The sequence below is a fragment of the Homo sapiens genome, chromosome 14 (genome assembly GCF_000001405.40).
Source record: "Homo sapiens chromosome 14, GRCh38.p14 Primary Assembly".
Lineage (NCBI taxonomy): Eukaryota > Metazoa > Chordata > Mammalia > Primates > Hominidae > Homo > Homo sapiens.
In genome coordinates, this window is record NC_000014.9 from 40,617,455 (window position 1) to 40,639,734 (window position 22,280).

Here is a 22,280-nt window from a genome sequence, read left to right on the forward strand (position 1 = left end):
GACCAATTCAATGAAAAAAATATGTGAATGCTTTGAAGTGTACATGTTTCATGAGGTTACTTGTAGTTCAGTTTTAAAGCATGTTAAGAGCACACCAAAAGGGGCATAGAACTACTTAATCTAGAAGTACTTACATGGCTAATTTATGATTAGGTAATACAGTATAGTTTAGACGATTACTTTAATACCAATTTATTTCCGATGTCAAGGGAAGAGTCTAAGATGGTTAGGGGAAGAGAACAGTATTTATATGTATTATTTTCTCAGCTCACATTCAACTTTACTTTGTAATTAGCAGGAAAAGTATGTATCCATTTTGAGCCTTAGATTTCTTCTATAAAATTATATAGCATAATTTATTTCCTAGCTGATTATGAGACCATTCTTTAAGCAAGTAATGAGAAATCCAACCTCTATCTGGTGAGATTTTAAGATTAAAGATATTTTTCATTTGTCACTTTGAATGAAAAGTACACAATAAGAAAAAATAGTGAATTGTTTTTGTGTCTAATTTCACAACTCAAAAATTTACCATTAATACCTTTATCTTTTATTTCAATACAAAATTAAAGTTAGGCAAATTAAGCCACTAAAAAGGCTTAATATTAAAAATGGAGTATTTGTAATAAAAGTAAAAGTTTGCTGTTAGATGGTTTCTCCCCCCAGAAAGTAAATTTGCCTAGCAGAAATTTGTTGTTACAACTACCTTTTTTTGTTACTAAACTGATTTAAAATAGAGGGTGCAAGTAGTGTGCAAAAACATGCTTCAAATGTGAATAAATTTGACTTTATGTTAAAGTACAGAGAAAAATATGTATCCACAGAACATAGAGAAGGAAAGGCTGACAATGAAATCCAGATACCAGAATGAAACATACTCTTAATCAGCATCCTCTAGAAAGCTGCATGAGCCGTGAGCCCAGAAATGCTGCCTGATAGTACTTAAGAAGCAATGAGAGGAAGGAGCCCATGTACTGCAATGTGTCCTTCAGGCTCAATAGTCTTTTGGATTTCGTTTAGTCTTGTGGCTTCCACACAAACCACAGGGTGGCCTTCCCCTAAACTCGCCTAAGGATTTCAAACTAGCTTTCTTGCTATGAATAAAACACAAAATAAAATTTTTAAAAGGTTGAAATGTCTACTGCTGCCAAAGGAACAGCAAATACTCTTTGGCTGTGCTTGTACATAGCAGTAGGAGAGATCACCATTAATGCAGGAGGATGGTACCTGGGGCACTAGTAGCAATGGACTGTGGTTCATCAAGCACTCTGCAGGATAAGGGCACAGGCCAGCAACCAGAGAGAACTGACTCTGTCTCAGCAGCTGTCTGTATCTTGTGGAAATAGTCACTAGTTATTTGCTTACAGATGATATTGAGTTAGTAACATGGAATATACTGATACAGAATGAGGATGTGTCCTTAGGCATATTATTCAAACTTGCCCTGTAGCTTGCCCGCCTACTGTCTAAGAAGAGTGAACAAAGAAGGACAAATGGGGAAAATTATGTCAGAATTACCTTATAACATTTTCAGCCTTTGAAGTTTTGGGGACAATTCAATCTCATATAATCTTCATGCCTAAAATCTAAATACAGCCAGTAAATTGGATAAAGGAGTTTAAAGAGGTCAACCATGCTGTTTTAATTTTTTTCTAAAAAAAAGCATGATTGTTCTGCTAAAAGTTATTAATATATTTTTATGAGATCTAAGCCTCAAACTTTTGGAGGTTGTTTTATTACATTATTTCTGTTACAAAATTAGTTCTGGAACTAATTTTTCCCTGATAGGTTTTTGGTTTTATTTGTTTTTCCCCATTTTGTATAGTAATTGTTAGCATTATATTTGCTATTAGGATTTTTCCAAAAGCCAAAAAAGCTTTCACCAGCCAAATTATCCCCACTCTCAAAGATAATATTTAAAAATACATGTCTCTTCCCTAACTGAAAGGAAGAAGCTATGTAAATAAAGTTTGAATTTAATGAATCTGAATGTCAGATCAAGAATTGAGCTTTTATCAAAGCTACAGAAAACAGTTACTAGATAGGGAGATTTTATTTATTTATTTATTTTTTTTGGTCTGGAAAGGGAAGGATTACATTTGATCACACAAGAAGAACTAATTGAATATTCTTCAGAATGACTCTCAAGTAAAACAGTTGTTCAACAATGATAAAAGTGTAAGAATGTTTCAGATCATCTTCCTTGGCACTTTATTTTGTCATTTTCTCATTAATTTAAGTAGACACATTTGTAACTCACACTAAGTTATGTATGACTAATCATTTTATATATCACTTTAGATATCTAAGACTCTGATTTCTCCTTCATGAACAGCTAGTGAGTATGTCAAAGATGGCTAGATCTTCAAATGGCCATGCATTCACATCTCCAGGACCAATCCTTTACCTAGCACTCAATAGCATCCTTGTTCTTATCTACCTTCAATACAATGCTCTAAAAGTAGGAAAAGTGATGCTTTAGAAATATAAGTAAAAGGCAAGGCACGGTGGCTCACGCCTGCAATCCCAGTACTTTGGGAGTCTGAGGCGGGTGGATCATGAGGTCAGGAGATTGAGACCATCCTAGCCAACATGGTGAAACCTCGTCTCTACTAAAATACAAGAAAAAAAAAATTAGCTGGGCATGGTGGCGCGTGCTTGTAGTCCCAGCTACTCAGAAGGCTGAGACAGGGGAATCACTTGAACCCAGGAGGTGGAGGTTGCAATGAGCTGGGATAGCAACACTGTCAAAAAAAAAAAAAAAAGAAAAAAGAAAAATATAAGTAGGATCATGCTGCTGCCACTACTGCTATGCCCTTTAGCCCAGACTGAAATACCTGAAAAGTCTGCAATGCTCCTAGGATGAAATGACAAATCTTAATATCTTGTGTATAGCTTTGCAGGATCGGGCCACCCTTTTCCTTTCCACCTTGTTCCTCACACATGCAAACTCACCTCCAGTGCCCTGTATGCTGTTCCCTCTGTCTGGAATGCTCTGTCTTCCTTTATCTAATTAATTTCTACACTTTTCTCTGATTTTTGCAACATTATAACTTCCTCATCTCCATGATCAGGTTAATATTTCCCAGGTTATGCTTTTATAAACCACATAGAAGCAACAGCTGCAATTTTCCTTTTTTTTTTCTTTTGCAATTCTTTTGCCCGCCTAATTAAGCAGATTAATTTTTTACTTCTAGTGTTTCTCAGGTTCAAGTAGTCTGCTCATTACTTTTTTAATGAATAGAGCTACATATTTATTTTTCTTCTTTCTTTGATTTCACGAAAAAATGGACTTTACCATCTTCATTTAAAAATAATTTAATTTCCTGAAAACAGCTCTCAGTGTTTCTAAATTAGAATGTAGGTAAACGAAAATTGATGGTTTCTTGATCGTCTTGTTTTTATAAACAATTTTGATTTTAAAATATTCAATGCTTGGTAGGTCAGATTTTGACCCATTTAGAATATTAATATACAAATTAGCCTTCTTGGGCTAAATAGTCTTGGTAAGATTGTCTTCACATATCCTGTAACTCCATATGTAAATATATTATTATTCACAATTAAGACTTGTTTTCTCACTGCGGCTGTTTCATCACAACTTATTCTTGAGCTTGTAGGCTATGTCCTTTAGAATCTAAGTAAAATAATTCAATTTTTAATTCTATTTATGTCTAGTTCTTGTATTTTGTTTCTTTAACCTTTAAGGTTGTCACTTTCATTTTTTTTAAGCATTTTCTTTCTCTTTGTATTTAATGGTTTTCTCACATAGATGAATAGCCTTAATTCGCATTTACAGGTTTTTCAATGTGTATAAACGGCTGTCATAGATTATGTTTCCATTTATGATCTGATATTTTTTTAAATAAGGTTTCTTATTTTCTGCTCACAAAGTCCCTTAATGCTCTTCATTTCTAGATAAAAATTACCTTTTCTTCCCCTATTCCATATTTTTATTTTAAATTACCAAAGAGAAATAATCTGGCTCTTATTTCTTTCATGCCACATCTTCAATAAAGCACTGAACACTCTCCAAAGACAAATATTCATTTTACTTTAAAAAACTCAGGCTTTAGTTGACAAATGCTATTGTGCAAGCGTTGGTATATGGGTTAAATGCCAAAAGAATAATATACACAACTCTTAAATTTAATAGATTTAGAGTCCACTCTGTCTCTTAACCCACTCTGGGTTTTGATACTCTCAGAGTTCATAGAAGAATAAATTCTCCCAATACCACTGTAGCCTTCTTTAGCGCATTTGTTGAGTTATTTTTTTATCCTACTATAAATTATCTTTAAATACTATCTCATTTTGTTTTCCAGAAAATGTACTCTTACTATAATGGAGTTTTTTGAGAAGTGAATTGTAAACACCCCATTTTTTCAAAACTAGAAAGAAATCTCTCTTCTCACATATGAGTGTTATTATATTTTTTGCTTGTTATTTGGATGGCTATGTAGGCAGCAGCCTGGAAGTCTATACTTCCGGAGCTTGTAATGTTTTTTTCAGCTATTATTCCTTTAATGTCCCAGCAGAAGAGAAGAGATAGACTACATCACAACAAAATCTGTGAAAAAATATGGCTCAAAATGTTTGTAAATTGGTAGGAAACAGCCTACTAATCCAAAATGTCCAGCAAAGCCCAAGCAAGTAAAATCAAAGAAAGCTATGGAAAGGTACACCATCATTAAACTGTTAGGGCCAAAGCATCTTAATACAAAATAAACTTATGTTAGTCTTTCCAATCATTTTCTACTGCTTGTCGTTAGTATTAAAGGAGGGAAATTACAAATTGCCTACTCTTAAATTCAAAAAGAGTGTCTGATAAATACTTCGTGACAATTTATGGCACATATTCTCAATTTCCTTCTAGTTTGTGCTGCTTTTTAGAACTCTCGTTAACCACTTAAATTTTACTGAAGCTACAGGTCAGGTAACAACAGCATGTTGGCTGCATCCTCTATACAGAACTTCTTCACTGTTTCTTGCACCAGATAGTATTGCATTTCTCTGTTACTTACCTCAATGTTTATAATTGCATAACAGTATAACATGTAAAACAAAATTTTGCCCAAAGCACATTGACCATTTTCTTATCGCTCTGTGTGCCTTTATCATTTTACCCAAATCTTTGTACCCTTTCCATCTATTCTATTAGCATCTTTTATTTATCTGTTTCCAAAGAGCCTTTGAGGCCATGCGCAGTGGCTCATGTCTGTAATCCCAGCAATTTGGGAGGCCAAGGTGGCGGATTACTTGAGGTCAAGAGTTTGAGACCAGCCTGGCCAACATTGTGAAACCCCATCTCTACTAAAAAATACAAAAATTACCAAGGCATGGTTGCAGGCTCCTGTAATCCCAGCTACTCGGGAGGCTGAGGCAGGAGAATCGCTTGACCTTGGGAGGCGGAGGTTGTAATGAACCGAAATGCCATCACTACACTATAGCCTGGGTGACAGAGTGAGACTCCATCTCAATTAAAAAAAAACAAAAACAACCTACTATTAAGAATAAATAAATCAAAAAAGAAAGAGTTCAAATAACTATATGAAATTAATTGTTCACCTATAGGTTGTTAGTTCACCTAAATCCATAGAGGAACCATGAACCATAAGCCCACTGATGTTAAATGAACTTCCTGAATGCAGACACTAACTCATTCATTATCTGCTTCTCCTCCTCTTTAAGATTGTAAAGATTACAAACAACCCTAAAATCATCTTAATTACTGACTTTTAAAAAAGTGTATTTGGCAATTTTTCTCTCAGTGTTTTCTGATGTCCTTGGTTCTATGTGATTCACCTTTCTCCTTGAGTTTACTCCTGTTGGCTTTTCCATCCAAGTCATTTTGCCCCATTTCCGGTTTATAACTAACATAACTTTCCTATTTTTCTGAATATTAATCACTTTCTTTCTGAAATTTCATCAAACATTCTTTGAACCAGCAAGCCGACTCCATAATGTGAGAGTGGGTAAATTGACTATCTCTAGACAGGAAAAATTCATATTATAGTACAAAAACACAGAGAACATTATGACAAATATTAAGGAGAACAATGAATGATGCAGCATTTTATGGCAGGTGTATGATCTACTAAAGTACTACCTCATGCTTTTTTCTTGACTTGCACTTCATCACAAATCAGAGCTTAATAATTTATCATATTTAAGTAGAAGGTTCAAACTATATTTAGATCTACTGATGCAGTCTGAAAGGTAGCAACATTAGAACTATCCTCCATGAGTAATTTGGGCCCTGTCATTTCTCTACTGGTCTATAAAAAAATGTGCCAAATTATTAGTCATTAACTCTATTTTCTGCAGAGATATGGTGGCTGACTTCAGGAGAAATGCAAATACAAGCTACAGCCACTACATCGGATTTGACAAGAGGAAAATCCACAGCTATATGACTTTGGACGTCTGCCATAAGCAATCTTGTATAAATAACTCTGAACTTAGGATATATGGGCACATTGAAATTCAAATTAGGGCTTGAGAGCTCCAAGGTTCATTTAAACACCCCAGGATGAAACATGGTTAGCAGTGCTCCAGTCCTCTAACATAGATGATTCTGCCTGTCTATATGCACTTTAACCCTAAAGTAGCTGCTTATTCTGCATATTAAGATTGTGTGGAGTTTAAAAAAATATTTAAAGGAAAACAATAATAAATGAGTTATTGATAATGGAAAATATTTTTCCACAAAAAATCATTAGACAAAAATTCTACAACATAGAGGCATAGTAATTAAATACTTAATGACAAAAATAACATTTCGTTGACTCTTATTTGTTACATACACCAGCAATTTACAATGTTTGTTAAAAATGAAAAGAAAAAAGAATACGTCAGCTGTATTAAGAATCATAGATAAGGTGGCCATATAATTTATTGTCCAAACCAGAACACTTTGGAGATCATGAGAATTACTTTAGGATAACTCATAAGCTAGATATGTCCTGAGCAAATCAGAACATGGTCACCATGAATTTTGGAGGATGCGTACCTATTGAGTTCTCTTTTTGAAAGTAACAAATGTTACATTCACTGGGGATTAACCTATATAAGCAATCCCCCTATTCTCACAAATAGATCAGAGTGTTTAAAAAAACAATATGTATCCATGTCATTTGCAGTGATTCAGCCTTATGAAGTTGTTCTAAATACTTCTCATTTTCTGTGGCTTTTAAAGAACATTTGGCAATTATTTCTTTCTTTCTAAAGGTAATTTTTTATTTAGATTTCATCCAAGTAATGAGGACAAAGATCATATTTTCTATAAGTTTAGTTTGGATGCAAATCATTGTATTTTTATGGAATTAAGAATGGTATATTTTGTTAATTAATAAAATATTTTCTGGCTACTTCTCTCAAATATTTCTAATGTTCAACAAACATCAATGATGCAGGATTTTTCTCAGTCCCTTTGCCAGTGGGGACCTCTGCCTTGCTTGGGGCATGCTACCTGCCACAGGAGGTGTCCTGCCCAATTGGCCGGCACAGGCTGAGTCTGACTTGCACACTGCTTCCCATGTTCTTGTCTCATGAACAAGAAAAATGAGAATGCACTGAACCTTGAAGGGTGAGGAGGGCAGAGAAGAATTTTATTGAGTGATCAAACAGCTTTCAGCAGAGAGACGATGCAGGAGTGGTCCCCCTAACTGAAGGCAGGAAAGCACCCCATGTGGCCAGGTACAGGGCCTTTTATGGACTCAGAATGGTGAATGTGTGCTAAGTGGTTTGTGAGTACGCAAAAAAGGTTAAAGTGAAGACACCACTCAAAGGTGGCCAGAACAGTGTAGAAAACCTATTAGGAAAGGGTAGGTATATATAAAATAGGTGAAGGGTGTGATCAGTCAGGAAACCATGTCAAACAGGTAAACAAGTTCTTAATCTGGTCAGAGGATTTAACCTGTAGCTTGGCTTTTGAGCTTTAAACTGTCTGGCTTGGAAGTGGGGTTTCACAGGGACCCGGCCCTATCTGCCTAGGCATTTGGCTGTCTCCTGCCACTATTATCATCACTGTGGTGATTACTAGTGTGGTTAGTAATTCATAGTGTTACATTGGGGTTTTTAATTTAAAATCACACGTTTATTATTTTCCCTCCCTTATAATTACTACAAGTACAGGCTGAAGGTTTATATTTCACTGGAAAAATCAATCTGGCTGCCATACATTTGAATACATAACATTATTCAATTGATACAGTGGTGCAGAGTAGATGTTTAACATTTAGAGTGGCTTCCTATAGCCCTGTTCATACAGTCTTCATAGTTTTTAAAGAATGGAGCCAAAATAAATTTTCGAGCTCATTTATCCAAGTTAATCTTCATCATAATACCCAAAATTCCTGGAGATGCTTGATTATACATTTAGATTCATTGAAATTTGATTTCATGTTACAGGTGAAAAAATGATTGTTTTTGACCCAAGAGTAAAAAAAGAGAACTGGATTATTATTATTATTATTATTATTATTGCACCTCATAAGTATATGGTATCCTTGAGTCTTCAATTCTTCTTCAAACCCAATTCTTTAACAGGGTTTAGTTTGCATAACACATATTGCAGCTCATTATGATTCTGTTGGCCACTTGCAAAGTAGTGGCTATTTGGGGTCTAATTACATAATTATGTGACTACTCATTCAGTTTCAATATTTGTTCCTGGGAAATAATTTATAAGAAAAGATTCTCACTTCTTATTTTAAGAGTCTGGAAAGTTTTACTTGCTTGCCAATGCCTATATTTTAAGTTCACATCTTTATTCTCTTCAAATTTATGTAACTTTTTTGTTATTTGATATGTGATTTTTGCCCACAAGATATCTTTTATGCCTTACCCTATGCCTGAAAATTTTCCTTAAATTATGGCATTATTCTCAATATTGTCTTTCATCCCAGATCAATCTAATTGTGGGAAAAATAATTTACTTCAAAATGATTCTAAGAAACTTCCACGTTGTTGAATAATTTACCATTTCTTATTCTAAATATAAAATGGCTGTTTTTTTAGTCAATTCTTTTATAATTGTTTTGTGATTTATATCAAAATCTGTCTTTAAAAATTTCTGAGAATGAAAAAAGTATTTTCAACTTGCTTTAGACAATACCATGAGGAGTAATAAGTGCAATTTTGATGTTTAAATAAACTTTGGGTTCATCAAAATAATCTGTACCCTGAGGAATGTACTATCACCGTAAAGGTTTTTTTTTCTTAGTTGCTTGATCGTTATAAAAGTTGCTTAATAGCCAAATATTTTAAAAAAATTCCAAATGTATCAAGTTATTACTATTGTTTTTTATTGAACAAATTGTTTTATGAAGTGCCTGTATTATAATTTCCTAGAATTTTTAAATTAAGCTTACTCTTTAAAAAACTGCTCAGTAGTTTAGTAAACCAAGACAAGATACTTTACAACATAAAGTGATACTACAACTTTATGTTGGGAGAGTAGGCTTAAAAGCAGAGGGTGGACAAAACTTCTAAAGTTATTACATTTCAGCTGGAAAAAAGTTAATTGGGCACGGTGTCTCATGCCTGTAATCCCAGCACTTTGGGAGGCCAAGGCAGGCGGGTCACGAGGTCAGGAGTTTGAGACCAGCCTGGCCAGTATGGTGAAACCCTGTCTCTACTAAAAAATTTAAAAATTAGCTGGGCGTGGTGGTGCACGCCTGTAGTCCCAGTTACTCAGGAGGCTGAGGCAGGAGAACCGCTTGAACCCAGGAGGTGGAGGTTGCAGTGAGCCGAGACTGCGCCATTGTACTTCAGCCTAGGTGAAGAAGCGAGACTCCATCCCCCCAAAAAAAAAAAAAATTAATTGGTTAATTGGTGACTTTGGTGACCTAAAAGACTGTAACGAGAGTAGTGTCTAATGCACCTGTTGAATTATATCAAAAATGTTTTATTTCTCAGAAGAGAGGTTTTAGTTCTTCACATCATTTATGCATGTACTGTACTCCCATTGAAAATTAAAGTAGTTATGCTATACTCCAGTGGTGTAAGGTTGTTCATGTACTTGCCAGAAGAGATGATACATAGTCACCTGTTCAGATGTCTTTGTCTATAGAGAGCTCTCTGCCTATGTGTGATATTTCACATCTTGGCTCACACTTATAAATGCAAATCCAACACTAAGGGACATTACAAATTTATGGCACACTGGGGATCTGTTAATCCTGTGGACAAGAATTAAGCTTCTTCATGTATTCATCCTTTTAATGAGAAAAAAGTGATACAATAGAAAATATGAGGGTGTAACTTAAAGCAATTTCTATGTAGTTTAATTCCATTTTTAAATGAAATTCTAATACCCATTTTATTTTAGTTTTATCTCTCCATATTCGACATGATATCTAGAAATAATTTTATTTAATCAATGAAAACAGATAAATTGCTTCATTTACCAGCTGTATGGCAATAGCCAAGGGGTGGATTAAGTGATGTACTAATGATGCTAATGCCAATTATAGAATTACCTTCTTAAAAATATATTAATTAAATTGCAATGTCTCCCTTTGTTCACTTTGACTGACATTTTTGGAAGTTTGGAAATCTTGGTTTGGTAGTTAAGTAGAATCCCATCAGGCAGAGTACAGGGAAGTTGAAATGCAGGAGAATTACTTTGATTCAAATAACTATTTGTTATTAAACTATTCAACAATTATTATTCAATATAACTCCAAATTATTAAACTATATTAATTATTCAAATAACTGCAATTATTAAACTATAACTATAATCATACTATTCATAGTTATATTTTTTCTTTAAAATATCCATCTAGTATGTGGCAAGACAGTATCTGCTTGTATAATTGTATTTACACCATTGCTATGATTTAAATGTTTGTGTCCTCCCAAATTCACACATTGAAATGTTAACTCCTAACTCATTTCATTTCACACATTGAAATGAAATGAAACTGCTCCTAATGGTAGCAGGAGGTGAAATCTTTAGGAGGTGATTGGGTTTTGAGAGCTTAGCGCTCTTGAATGAGATTAGGGTAGTTTTAATACAAGCCCAAGAGAGATCCCTCACCCCTTCCACCATGTGAGGTTAGAGTGATAAGCTGGCAGTTAATGAAGAAGTGGGCCCTCATAAGACACTGAATCTGCCAGTGCATTAATCTTGCATTTCTCAGCCTTTAGAATTACAAGAAATATTATTTTTTCCTACTAGGTGATCCCTTGATGTGGTGCTCTTCCCCTTTCCCTAGGGTTGGGACTTCTGTGAGCCAGACTGCAGTGATTTGTTATTGCTCTTCTGGGTCTAGCTACCCAGTGGAGCTACTAGGCTCCAGGCTTGTGCTGGGGAATGTTTGCAAAGAGTCCTGTGATGCAATCTGTCTTCAGGTCTCCCACCTGTGGATACCAGCACCTGCTTTGGTGGAGGTGGCAGAGTAGTGAAGTAAAGTCTGAGAGAGCCCTTGCTTGTAGTTTTGTTTACTGTGATGGCTTTCTGGAATGCTGGTTATGCTAGCAGTGAAGTTGTCACGTGGAGGCACTCAGGACCTCTGGTTAGCCAGGCAGGGGAATTAGCTGTTGTTTTCTCCTTCCTGGGATCAGGGTTATTCTGTCATAAGTTACTGTAATGGCTTGAGTTGGTTGGCCAACAATGAGGTGGTGGTGGTTTCAAGAGAGCACCAGTTGTGATAGTAGTAGGGGGATCTAAGCTTGTGCTAAGTTGGCCAGTGTATTTTTGTTCCTCAGGCTATGGGCAGGGCCATAAAGCTCCCAAGAATTTCTGTCTTTTGTGTTTCTATCTTTTATGTATCTTTTGTGTACCCACACTGCCAGCGTGGGTAGAGAAATACAAACAGGTAGGGGCAGAGTTAGACTGGTCTTGGCTCAGACTCACCTTGGGCGGGGCTTGCTGCAGCCATTGTGGTGGATGGTGGTGGTTCTCAGGACAATGAGGTTATGTTCTAGAGGGGATTTTCGTTGCCTCTACTGTATTATATAGTTGGCCAGGAAAGTTGGAGATAGCTGGTGGCAAGAGGCCTCAACCAGGTCCCACACAGTTGGCAAGGTCAGTGTCATAAAGGTTCATGTTAACATAAAGGTTAACATAAAGGTTCTCCACGTCCCCACCAGACTCAGGAGCCCAGCAGGCTTCACCCAGTGGATCCCGCACGGGGCTGCAGGCGGACGTGCCTGCCAGTCCCGGTGCCGTGTGCCCGCACTCCTCAGCCCTTGGGTGGTCGATGGGACTGGGCGCCGTGGAGCAGGGGGTGGCGCTCGTCGGGGAGGCTCGGGCCGCACAGGAGCCCATGGAGGGGGTGGGAGGCTCAGGCATGGCGGGCTGCAGGCCCGAGCCCTGCCCCGCGGGAAGGCAGCTAAGGCCGGGTGAGAAATCCAGCGCAGCCACGGTGGGCTAGCACTGCTGCGGGACCCAGTACACTCACCACAGCCGCTGGCCCGGATGCTAAGCCCCTCATTGCCGGGGCGGCAGAGCGGGCCGGCTGCTCCCAGTACGCTGCGTGCCAAAACCACGCCCACCCGGAACTCCAGCTGGCCCGCAAGCGCCGCGCGCAGCCCGGGTTCCCGCTCCCGCTTCTCCCACCACACTTCCCTGCAAGCTGAGAGAAGCGGCTCTGGCCTTGGGCAGCCCAGAAAGGGGCTCCCTCAGTGCAGCGGTGGGCTGAAGGGCTCCTCAAGTGCCGCCAAAGTGGGAGCCCAGGCAGAGGAGGCGCCCAGAGCGAGCGAGGGCTGTGAGGACTGCCAGCACGCTGTCACCTCTCAGAACTATTTACTCAGAATGAGTGAAGGCAAGTGATTAAATGTACCTTTTAATTGAGTGTAATCTGCTTGCTCTACATATTCAAAGTCTTAAAACATACCAAAAAGTCTATTTACCCCATTCCTCTCAATTTATTTTGTAGTAGTGGCTTTATCCTCTTTTACTGGCAGTATGTTTGAATACTGGCCTCCTTTATCAGGTAATTAATTTGTATGTAAGTTTGAGGAAATTAAAATGGCTGTGACTATCTTGCTTCATGAACTTGATCCACTAGAGCAGAAACTAGCATACAGAAACAAAAAGCAGCACAAAGAAAGTAGGTTAAGGGCAAGGGCCGAGGTGCAAGAAATGACTTAGAAAAAAAGAGAGTACACTTCAGCCTGTGTTGATTATGGAGATATTATCTAAATGGGATCATGAAGAAGTCATAAATTCCACCAAGAGATTTAAATGCATGTGTGTGATAAGAGGATTGGGAAAGGAGGTAGGAGATTGTGAGGGTATTTCTTGTCAGTGAAATGCATGGAATTTATGCCCCCAAGACATAAAAAAATCAGTCACTCAACATGTATTTAATAAGTGACTACAATAGATATCTAACTAGTTTTGTCAAGTTTAGACAATCTGTAGGAAGACTTAAAAATATATAAAAATAGATGTGAGTCTAGATTTTATGGATCATGACATCGAGTGCAAGACAAAGTAAATTTTATTTTGTAGGGACTGGGGAGTTTTTGAATTAGTCCGCAGTAGACAGCACTGTATGATCATCTCATGACAGTGCTAAAAGTATGTAAGCAAGAGGCTAGTTATGAGGGCATTGCAGTTGCAAATGCAGGACTATTGTGTGAGGTCGTGAAATGGCCATAGGACTAAAGTAAAAATGAATTTGGGAAAATGCAAAAAAAATTAATAAAACTTTATTGCTGGGCCTGAAGAATACATTTGCTATTCATAGTTCAAGATAGTTATATTATTCTGTTGTATCTACAGTCCTCAAAACATATAGAAGTGTTGCACTGATTATCCTTCCTTTATTATTTTATTCAATAGTGTGTATTCAGTTTATTAAAAGGATACAAATGTATATTTTAGAGAATTTAATAAATATTAAAAAATATATAATAATGACTCTAATACAGAAATATATAATGTATATTTGTAGTAGATTCCCATCTATTTTTAAATTATTTAATTTCAATTTTATTTTCTAAATTATTAATAGGCAAAACATCAAGTTTTTCAGTCCCTCTTTAAAACACTCATTTCCTGACTGTTGTCCTAAAGACATTAGTGTTTTAAAAACTAATTTTCTTGTTAAATAATGACATGCAATTTACTGAAACCTCACCTGTGTTAAGCATTTAAGTTACCTCTGATTGCTAGAAGTTAGAAATCATGAAATTGTACATATTTAATACAGCCATAATTTAAACATTGCTATTATTTTTCAATATATTTGCTAATTTGCTAGATTAAAAATGGTATTGTGGTGCTTTATTTTTATTTCTTTTCCTATTGGATTGACATTTATAGATGTTTATTAGTAATTAATAGAACCTGTTAGAAATTTCTGCATAGTGACATTTCCTCAGTTTCTAATTTAGCTATACAAGTAATTTGTATAAATAATGTGGATCAATTCTCAGTGATATTTCACATTTTTTAAACTTTGTCTCTAAATAATTTGTATCTAAACATCATGCTTCAAGAAAGTCCTTTCATGATTTAATAATTATTCTCATGTTCTTTTCTTTTTTACGGTTTTCTTAACATTTAGTAGGTCATTATTTGCAGTTTATTTTGTTTTGGTAAAACTGCAAATACGTTTTTTGACAAAAGATAACTTCAAACTTATTGTTTTATTGTAGTTTAGGATATTGATTGGTTTTATCTAACCTAGTATTATTATTTAACATTCTTTAAGTAAAATAAAACTCCTTGAAAAGTGTGCTAAAATATGTGTGCAAGTTCTAACTTTAGGTATAAGCACCTTTTATTTTATTGTTTGTAGTAATTTCCTTTTTAACTATCGGTACCTGAGATTTCTCTTTTCTCCATGTTTTCAATATGCTACAGCAGGTCGAACATTTAATTTTGAGCCAAATTGATAAATATGAAATTGTAACTAGTATTATAGCTTACATGACTGTTACTATTTTGAGTACTTTCTCTATTCTTATGGGTCATTCTGATTTTCTAATTTATAAAATCTTTACAAACTTTTAAACTAAATTATTGTGGCCAGGCGTGGTGGCTCATGCCTGTAATCCCGGCACTTTGGGAGACCGAGGCAGGCAGATCACGAGGTCAAGAGATGGAGACCATCCTGGTCCATATGGTGAAACCTTGTCTCGACTGAAAATACAAAAATTAGCTGGGTATGGTGGCACGCGCCTGTAGTCCCAGCTACTCGAGAGGCTGAGGCAGGAGAATCGCTTGAATCTTGGATGTGGAGTTTGCAGTGAGCTGAGATCATGCCACTGCACTCCAGCCTGGCAATAGACTAGGACTCCATCTAAAATAAATAAATAAATGAGAATAATAATAATTAAATTATTGTATCATGCATTTATATTGACAAACATTATAGTTTGTCTACTAGTTCTATGACAGTTATTTGCTTTAAAATATTATTTCCCAGCCTGTGGATGGTATTTTAATATTTTATTATACATTTTGTTAAGCAGAATTTTATTGTATTCAAATATCAGTATTTTCTCTTTTTGATTATGCTGCTTTGTAATTTGTATGGGAAATTCTCCTAGTTTTCAAGACATTAAAGATTTGTCCCTAAATTGTCTTTTAATAGTTTTAAATAGTCTTAGATGTGAAAAAAATGATATTTGTATATAGTGTGAAACAGGAGAATTATAACATTTATGTAGATATTCAGTTGTCAATTTTTGACTGGTGTTCTCTTTTGCTACTAATTTGAATTGTGGAGCATGCTTGTATTCACTGTGTCCCAAATTCTCTTATACTCTACCCTATATTGCTGAGATTGGGGTTCTTCAAAATACAGTTTTGAGTCTCATTTGCTAGGGGTTTGCTTTAGACTCTATCATTAAAATACACTGGAAATAATCAGAAGGCGAGAGAAAGAAAGAAGATGCTTGCTTCTGGCAGTTATAGGCAGTTACTGGAATGGCAGTGAGTGTACAGGGTCTCCAGACTCCATGGAGCACAGGCAAAGGCAGCATGGTATGGGTCTGTTCTCGGCAGAATCTTTTCAGTGATATCAGAACTGACTGAAACAGCACCTCTAACAATGCAGCATCAGGCAGTAGATAATAAAATCCATCCAGAAGAGCATCACTATTCTTAATTTTGGACTCTCTGGCTGACATTTCATTCTCTTTTTTCTTCTTCTACACCTTACAACACCTTGTAACCACTTCTCTGTATTGAGACATTTGTGTTTGAAATACCTGGAGTGCTTTCTATTTTCTTGTCTGGTTCCTGACAATAACTATCTTTGTTTCTAGACTTTTTATTATTATTATTGATCTATTCATCTTTGCCTTTACCTAATTAGTATAGATTTAGAATAATGTTATCTGGCTCGGCAGAGTTAGCTATCTTGTTGTTTTCTTCAAAACTAACATGAATATCCTTACAGCATATTATAATTGTTTGTATTACTTTTAGAATTAATTTGTCAACCTTGATAAAATGCTGTTGAAATATTTAGTAAAATTGTATTAAATTTGATACACATACTTAGGGTAAAATAACATCTTTATAGTAATAGTTTATCCTCCTTTTAAAGCATATATAACTCTTCATATTTAAATTATATTACATGTTCTTCAACAGCATTTGGTGATTTAATCCATATGAATATTCACACATCTTTAAGATTTGTTTCTAGGTACATAATTATTAGTTACTTTTATGGTCAGGCTCTTTAACCATTTATTTTTCTATTGCATTTTTTTACATGGCTATTAATCATATATAAAAATGTTACTAATTTTGAACAGTGATTTAAATATTCAACCACATTGATAAGTGCTTGCCATAGTTCTCAAAGCTGTCTGGAAATTTCTCATACATATAATCATGTTGTACACAAATACAGCACATTTTACATTTCTTTTTAAATTCTCACACCTGTTCTCTCTTTTATTTATTTTTTGCCTTATTAGATTGATGGGACTCTTCATTAGAATTGCACGATACACAGTATTCTATAAGTATTTCTAAAATATTATTAAATAGTATGTTTGTTCTAGATTTTTATCTTTATACACTCCTTATGGGTTTAAAAATGTTTAGTTGTGTTCCTTAAATTCTATGAAAATGAATGTGTTTTTCTTAAGTGAAAAAAAAATTCTCTTCAATACAGAGTAATTTTTTGAATGGCATTTGGGAAAAGCCTAGCTGTGCGATTCTTCTGGTTCGTGTGGCATCAACTGGTATCATTCTTCAGCAGCACTCAGTTAGCGACTGAATAGAGCTGAAGAATTCAAGAAGGCTGTACTTACCTGCATGGCATGCTGGCGTACCTCTGCAATGTTTCTGTTTCTCCACATAGTTGGTCTCAGTATACGCAGAAAACTTATGTGGCATATAGCTTCTAAGAGGGAGTCTTTTATGTATGGAAGAGGAAGCTACAGAACTATTGAGGTCCAATATAAGAAGTTATACAAAATCACTTCCATCACACTTAATTAATGAAAGAAATGTATAGGTAAAGTCAGATTAAAATGATGAGGAGATGCCAGGAGGTGGTGAAGCAAGATGGCCAAATAGAAGCACCAGCAATCATCCTCCCCAAAAGGAACACAAAATCGAAAAAGTATCCACACAACAAAAGCACCATCATAATAACCGAAACTCAAGTGAGCTATTACAGTGCTTTATTTTAACATCATATTAAGAAAAAGGTCACTGAAGAGGGTAGAAAAAAACAGTCTTGAATTGCCTACACCAAAGGTCTGGCAGAAGAGAAGCACCGAAAGTCATCCTTCCCAACAGGAAAACAAAATTGAACAACTATCCGTACAACAAAAGCACCATTATAAGAAGTGAAACTCAGGTGAGCTATCACAGTACTTGATATTAACATCATATTAAGGAAACATGCACTGAAGAAGGTAGTCTTGAATTGCTTACACCACAGGTTACCCATCCCCTAGCAGTGGTCGTGGGTCACGGAGAAAGAACCTGTGCATTTTGGGGAGAGAGAATGTAGTGATTGTGGGACTTCACATTGGAAATCAGTGCTACCTTATCACAGCAGAAAGCAACACTGGGAACAACCCAGCTTGTGTCCTCCAAGGGAGCATCTAGATAAGCTCTAGCCAGAGGTGAATTGTCCATTCCAGCAGTCAGAAACTGAGTTTCAGCAAGCCCTGCCACTCTAGCAGGTTTAAGTGCTCTGGGGTTCTAAATACACTTGCGAGGCACTTTAGATCACCAGGACTGTAATTCCTAGGCAATTCCTGGTGCTGTGCTGAGCTCAGAACCAATGGACTTGGAGCACATGTGACCCGGTGAGACACCAACCAGGGTGGCCAAGGAAGTGTTTGTGTCACCCTTCCCAGAACCCCAGGAAGTTCAGCTTGCAGTTCCAGGAGAGATTCTTTTCTTCTTCTTGAGGAGAGGGGAGGGGAGAGGAGAGTAAAGAGGACTTTGTCTTGCACCCTGGATACCAGGTTAGTCACAATAAAGGAGTGCACCAGGAAGAGTTCTGACACGCCCATTTCAGGCCTTAGATCCCAGATGACATTTCTAGACACAGCCTGGGCCAGATGGGAACCTGTTGATTTGAAAGGAAAGACCAAGTCCTGGCAGAACCTGCTGACTAAAGAGTCCTTGAGTCCTGAAAATTCAGGAGTGGTAGCCAGGCAGTACCCTCTTCAGGCCTTGGGTGAAACTCAGAGACTTGCTGGCTTCAGGTGTAACCCAGCGTATTACCAGCTATAGTGTCTAGAGAGAGAGAGAGAGAGAGACTCCATTTATTTCGTGAAACAGAGGAAGAGTAAAGAGAACTTTGTCTTGCATCTTGCATACCAGCTTGGCCATAGTAGGGTAGAGCACCAGGAGAGCTGCTTGAGTCCCTGATTCCAGGCCATGTTTCCTCTGTGGCACTTCTGGACCTGCCCTGGGACAGAGAAGCTCACTGTGCTGAAGAGAGAGACCCAGGCTGGCAGCATTTACATCAAACAAAACAAAACAAAAAAACTACAGGCCAATTCCCGTGATGAGCATTGGCTCAAAAATTCTCAACAAAATATTAGCAAACTGAATTGAACAATACATTGAAAAATTATTCATCCTGATCAAGTGGAATTTATTCAAGGGATGCAAGAATGGTTCACCATAAATAAATCAATCAATGTGATATATATAAACAGAATAAAGGAAAAAAACATGATCATTTTAACTGATGCTGAAAAAGCATTTGATAAAATGTAACTTTCTTTCATGATAAAAACCGTAAAAAATCTGGGTATAGAAGGAGCACACCTCATCAAAATAAAAGCCGTAAATAACAGATCCACAGCTAGTATCATAATGGGGACTATCCTAGGCAACATAGTGAGACACCATCTCTACAAAATATTAAGAAATTATCCAGGCATAGTGGTACATGTCTGTAGTCCTAGCTATTAAGGCGGCCTAGGTGGGAGGATTGCTTCTTGAGCCAAGGAGATTGAGGGAGCAGTAAGCCATGATCATACCACTGCACTCTAGCCTGGGGAACAGAGCAATATCCTATCTCAAAAACAGGAAAAGAAAAAAAAATTAAAAAGGGAAAAGAAAATAAATTCTAGCCAGAAGTAAGCCAAAATATATTTGATATTTTAAAATACGTCAATCTAGGACACTTTTGCTTGTGATACTCACAGAGTGAAATCAGCAAACTGTGTTCTGTGTTTCCTTTTGTTTTATATATTGTGATATTTCTTTACATTCTTTAGCTAAAAAGGTAATCTTTGTTAAAGGAGACCAAGAAAAACCCACAAAAAACACAAAAAATGTATTAATCATCTACTCCTTTATTCTTCCAATCTTCTCTCTCTATAATTAGCTGAAATTCCAACCTGACTTAATTATGTGGGTTTTCTTCTGATGCTTTTACACACGTATTTATAGATGCACACATATATTCACTTTGTTTGCTCTGATTTTATTTTCATAACATTAAGCTTATATTACTTACATTTGTTTACAACTTTTTGATGTATCGCAAAGTATCATGAAAAAAATTTCAGTTGCAGAAACAGTGAAAACTAATTATTTTATTTAACAATGTAATGTTTTGAACTTATACATTATATATATTTATATATTATGTATATATAATATGTATATATATATGTATATTGGTATGGATTGCACAATAGGGATTACTTGGTCATAGTGTATATTCATTTTTAACTTTTATTATTATGTTAAATGTTTTGATTCTTTTATTAATCCAAAAAATATGTTTGAATTAGCCCATTTGCCTTTTTTTTAAACAACACACAATTTTAAAACCAACACAGAATTCAGCATAATAATAAGTTAGTGCCCACTGTTTTTCATGAAGATCGTTGACATGGCTTGGGTTCAGAAGCAGACTTCTGGGGTTGTTATCAACTAGTATTATTTTTCTTTAATTGTTTTGTTTTGTTCAACAGCCTGATAATGTCTTACATGCTGCGGTTGCTCAATAATTTCCAGTGAGTTACTAAAACTTGATCACTTGCCCTTAGCAAGTAAGTTCCTATTAAAAATAGCAACGGCTTGCTGTGGCCATTGATTGGGTTGTTTTGACTAAATGTATTCTGGTAATAAGTTTATAGGCTCTGGGTGTCTTTTGTCATGCTGAACTGCTCTTCTGATCTGTGAAATCTTTTAGTTTATCTTGCCTGAATCCTTAACATAAAACTAAGAGTGTAATGTTTTTAAAGGATATCATTTTATTTTCTTAAAACTACCGTGTTTTATTGAACTGAAAATGCAATCTTGAAATAATAATTTGAGGAACTTCTTACCACAAATCATCTCTCTTCCACTTTATTATTTTGTCATTGACAATATTTAGGCACTGGCATTTAAAAAAATGCATTGATAGGAGATAATTTTGATGACATCTTAATAAGTACTTCATTGAATTTTTCAACCGGTAGAGCATTAGCACTTTATACCCTATCTATGGCAGAAATATGTCAAGCACAACAGATTACAGGTATCAAACAGCACCTTTTTAAATTTGTTGTTTAGTAGTGGGAGAGATTGTGACCAGCCCACTATCCAGGTGTGATTTACCGCTGAGAACAAAACTCCCAGAGTCACGAATTTATAGGCAAATAGAAGTGGGCTCCCGGAATAGAGATGCTGTATCAGAACAAAAGTGGCTCTGCACAGAATCTACCTCCAGTAGATATCTGACCAAAGGCAAATTATTGTGATAATTTTTTTCACTGTGACTCTGAGAGACCTGCAGACCATTATAATTCTAAGTTACCTCAAATCAGTTATTACGCTTAAAAAGTCATTTTCTAAAATAGACCTAGGGTAATTAAGCCTCTTTGAAAAGCAGGCATGGTTATGATTTATACAGAAACATTATGAACAAAAACTTTTTCAAAAGCTAAAATGTTATATTTCACGAACCTGTTGGAACCCAAAAGCTGCAGGTGCTTCTTTGAAAAATGACATTTTCATCATCTACTTGACAAGCACAGCTGAAATATCAAAGTTATAAACATTCTTGCTTCTGAGTGCCAGCTGCTGTTTCTGTGGAAACAGCCTAAGTTGCAAATGCAAGGTAAAATGTACTTAACTTAAAATTATGAGGTTTTGAATATTTTACTAAATATGTATTTAGATATATCTCATATTCTTGATGCCAGAAAAATTGACATTTTTATTATTTTATACATACATATCCACATTTGTAAAATTATATAATATTAAATGATTAAAGCAGTTGTTTTTATTCTAAACTTAATCTTATATAAGGTAAATATGACAAAATGAATATGCTTATCACAGATGTTATCAACTACTGTTCAAAATATTAAAAATAAGAAAAATAACACATTACATGTTTATATAATCTAGCACCAACAAAAATAAATAGAAATATTATTTGTTTAGTAGTCTTAGAGGAAACTAATTTTAATTTCAATTGATTATCCATATTATTTTTATTAAAAAAAGAATTAGATTTATTGTTGGATTAATAATAATGGATTCTGATAATTTTATCTTCACTTATCTTGCTCCAGCATTACAACACACAGTTTGGTATATGCAAAAAAGTTATGAAATGACTTCCAATGCCAAATTGTTGCTAACAATGGAGTAATCTTCATATTTTTCTGTATACTTAAATTGGTGATATATGATATAGTCAGTGAAAAAACTTCATTATCTTTCAGCATATTTTCCTATACTTGGAATTCATAAAAGAATAGTAATTTTCATAACTATATAAAACAGAAACAGAACTTTATGATATTCTTTTATTGTGTAAGAGCCAATGAGATTTAAAATAAACATGTTCTAGACCCTAAGATCATAGCTCT

General features: G+C 35.6%; 1 long non-coding RNA gene across 2 annotated transcripts in view, besides 1 other annotated feature; it reads right to left on the reverse strand.

Annotated features, from left to right (window-relative positions):
• LOC105370466 (uncharacterized) overlaps positions 1–12,508 on the reverse strand; it is a 53,842-nt gene extending 41,334 nt beyond the window's left edge. The window contains exon 1 of one of the 2 annotated variants that reach the window (XR_943790.3): positions 11,866–12,498. This is a non-coding gene — a long non-coding RNA (uncharacterized LOC105370466). Of the gene's footprint in view, positions 1–11,865 lie in introns of both variants that reach the window. The other variant, XR_943792.3, reaches the window with a different exon arrangement.
• Positions 11,756–11,956: a silencer, noted in NCBI's record as "peak2137 fragment used in MPRA reporter construct". NCBI's record gives its function as "represses an SCP1 promoter by STARR-seq MPRAs in K562 erythroleukemia cells {active_cell/tissue: K562}" and the evidence as "EXISTENCE:reporter gene assay evidence [ECO:0000049][PMID:32103011]".
• Positions 12,509–22,280: the final 9,772 nt, after the last annotated feature.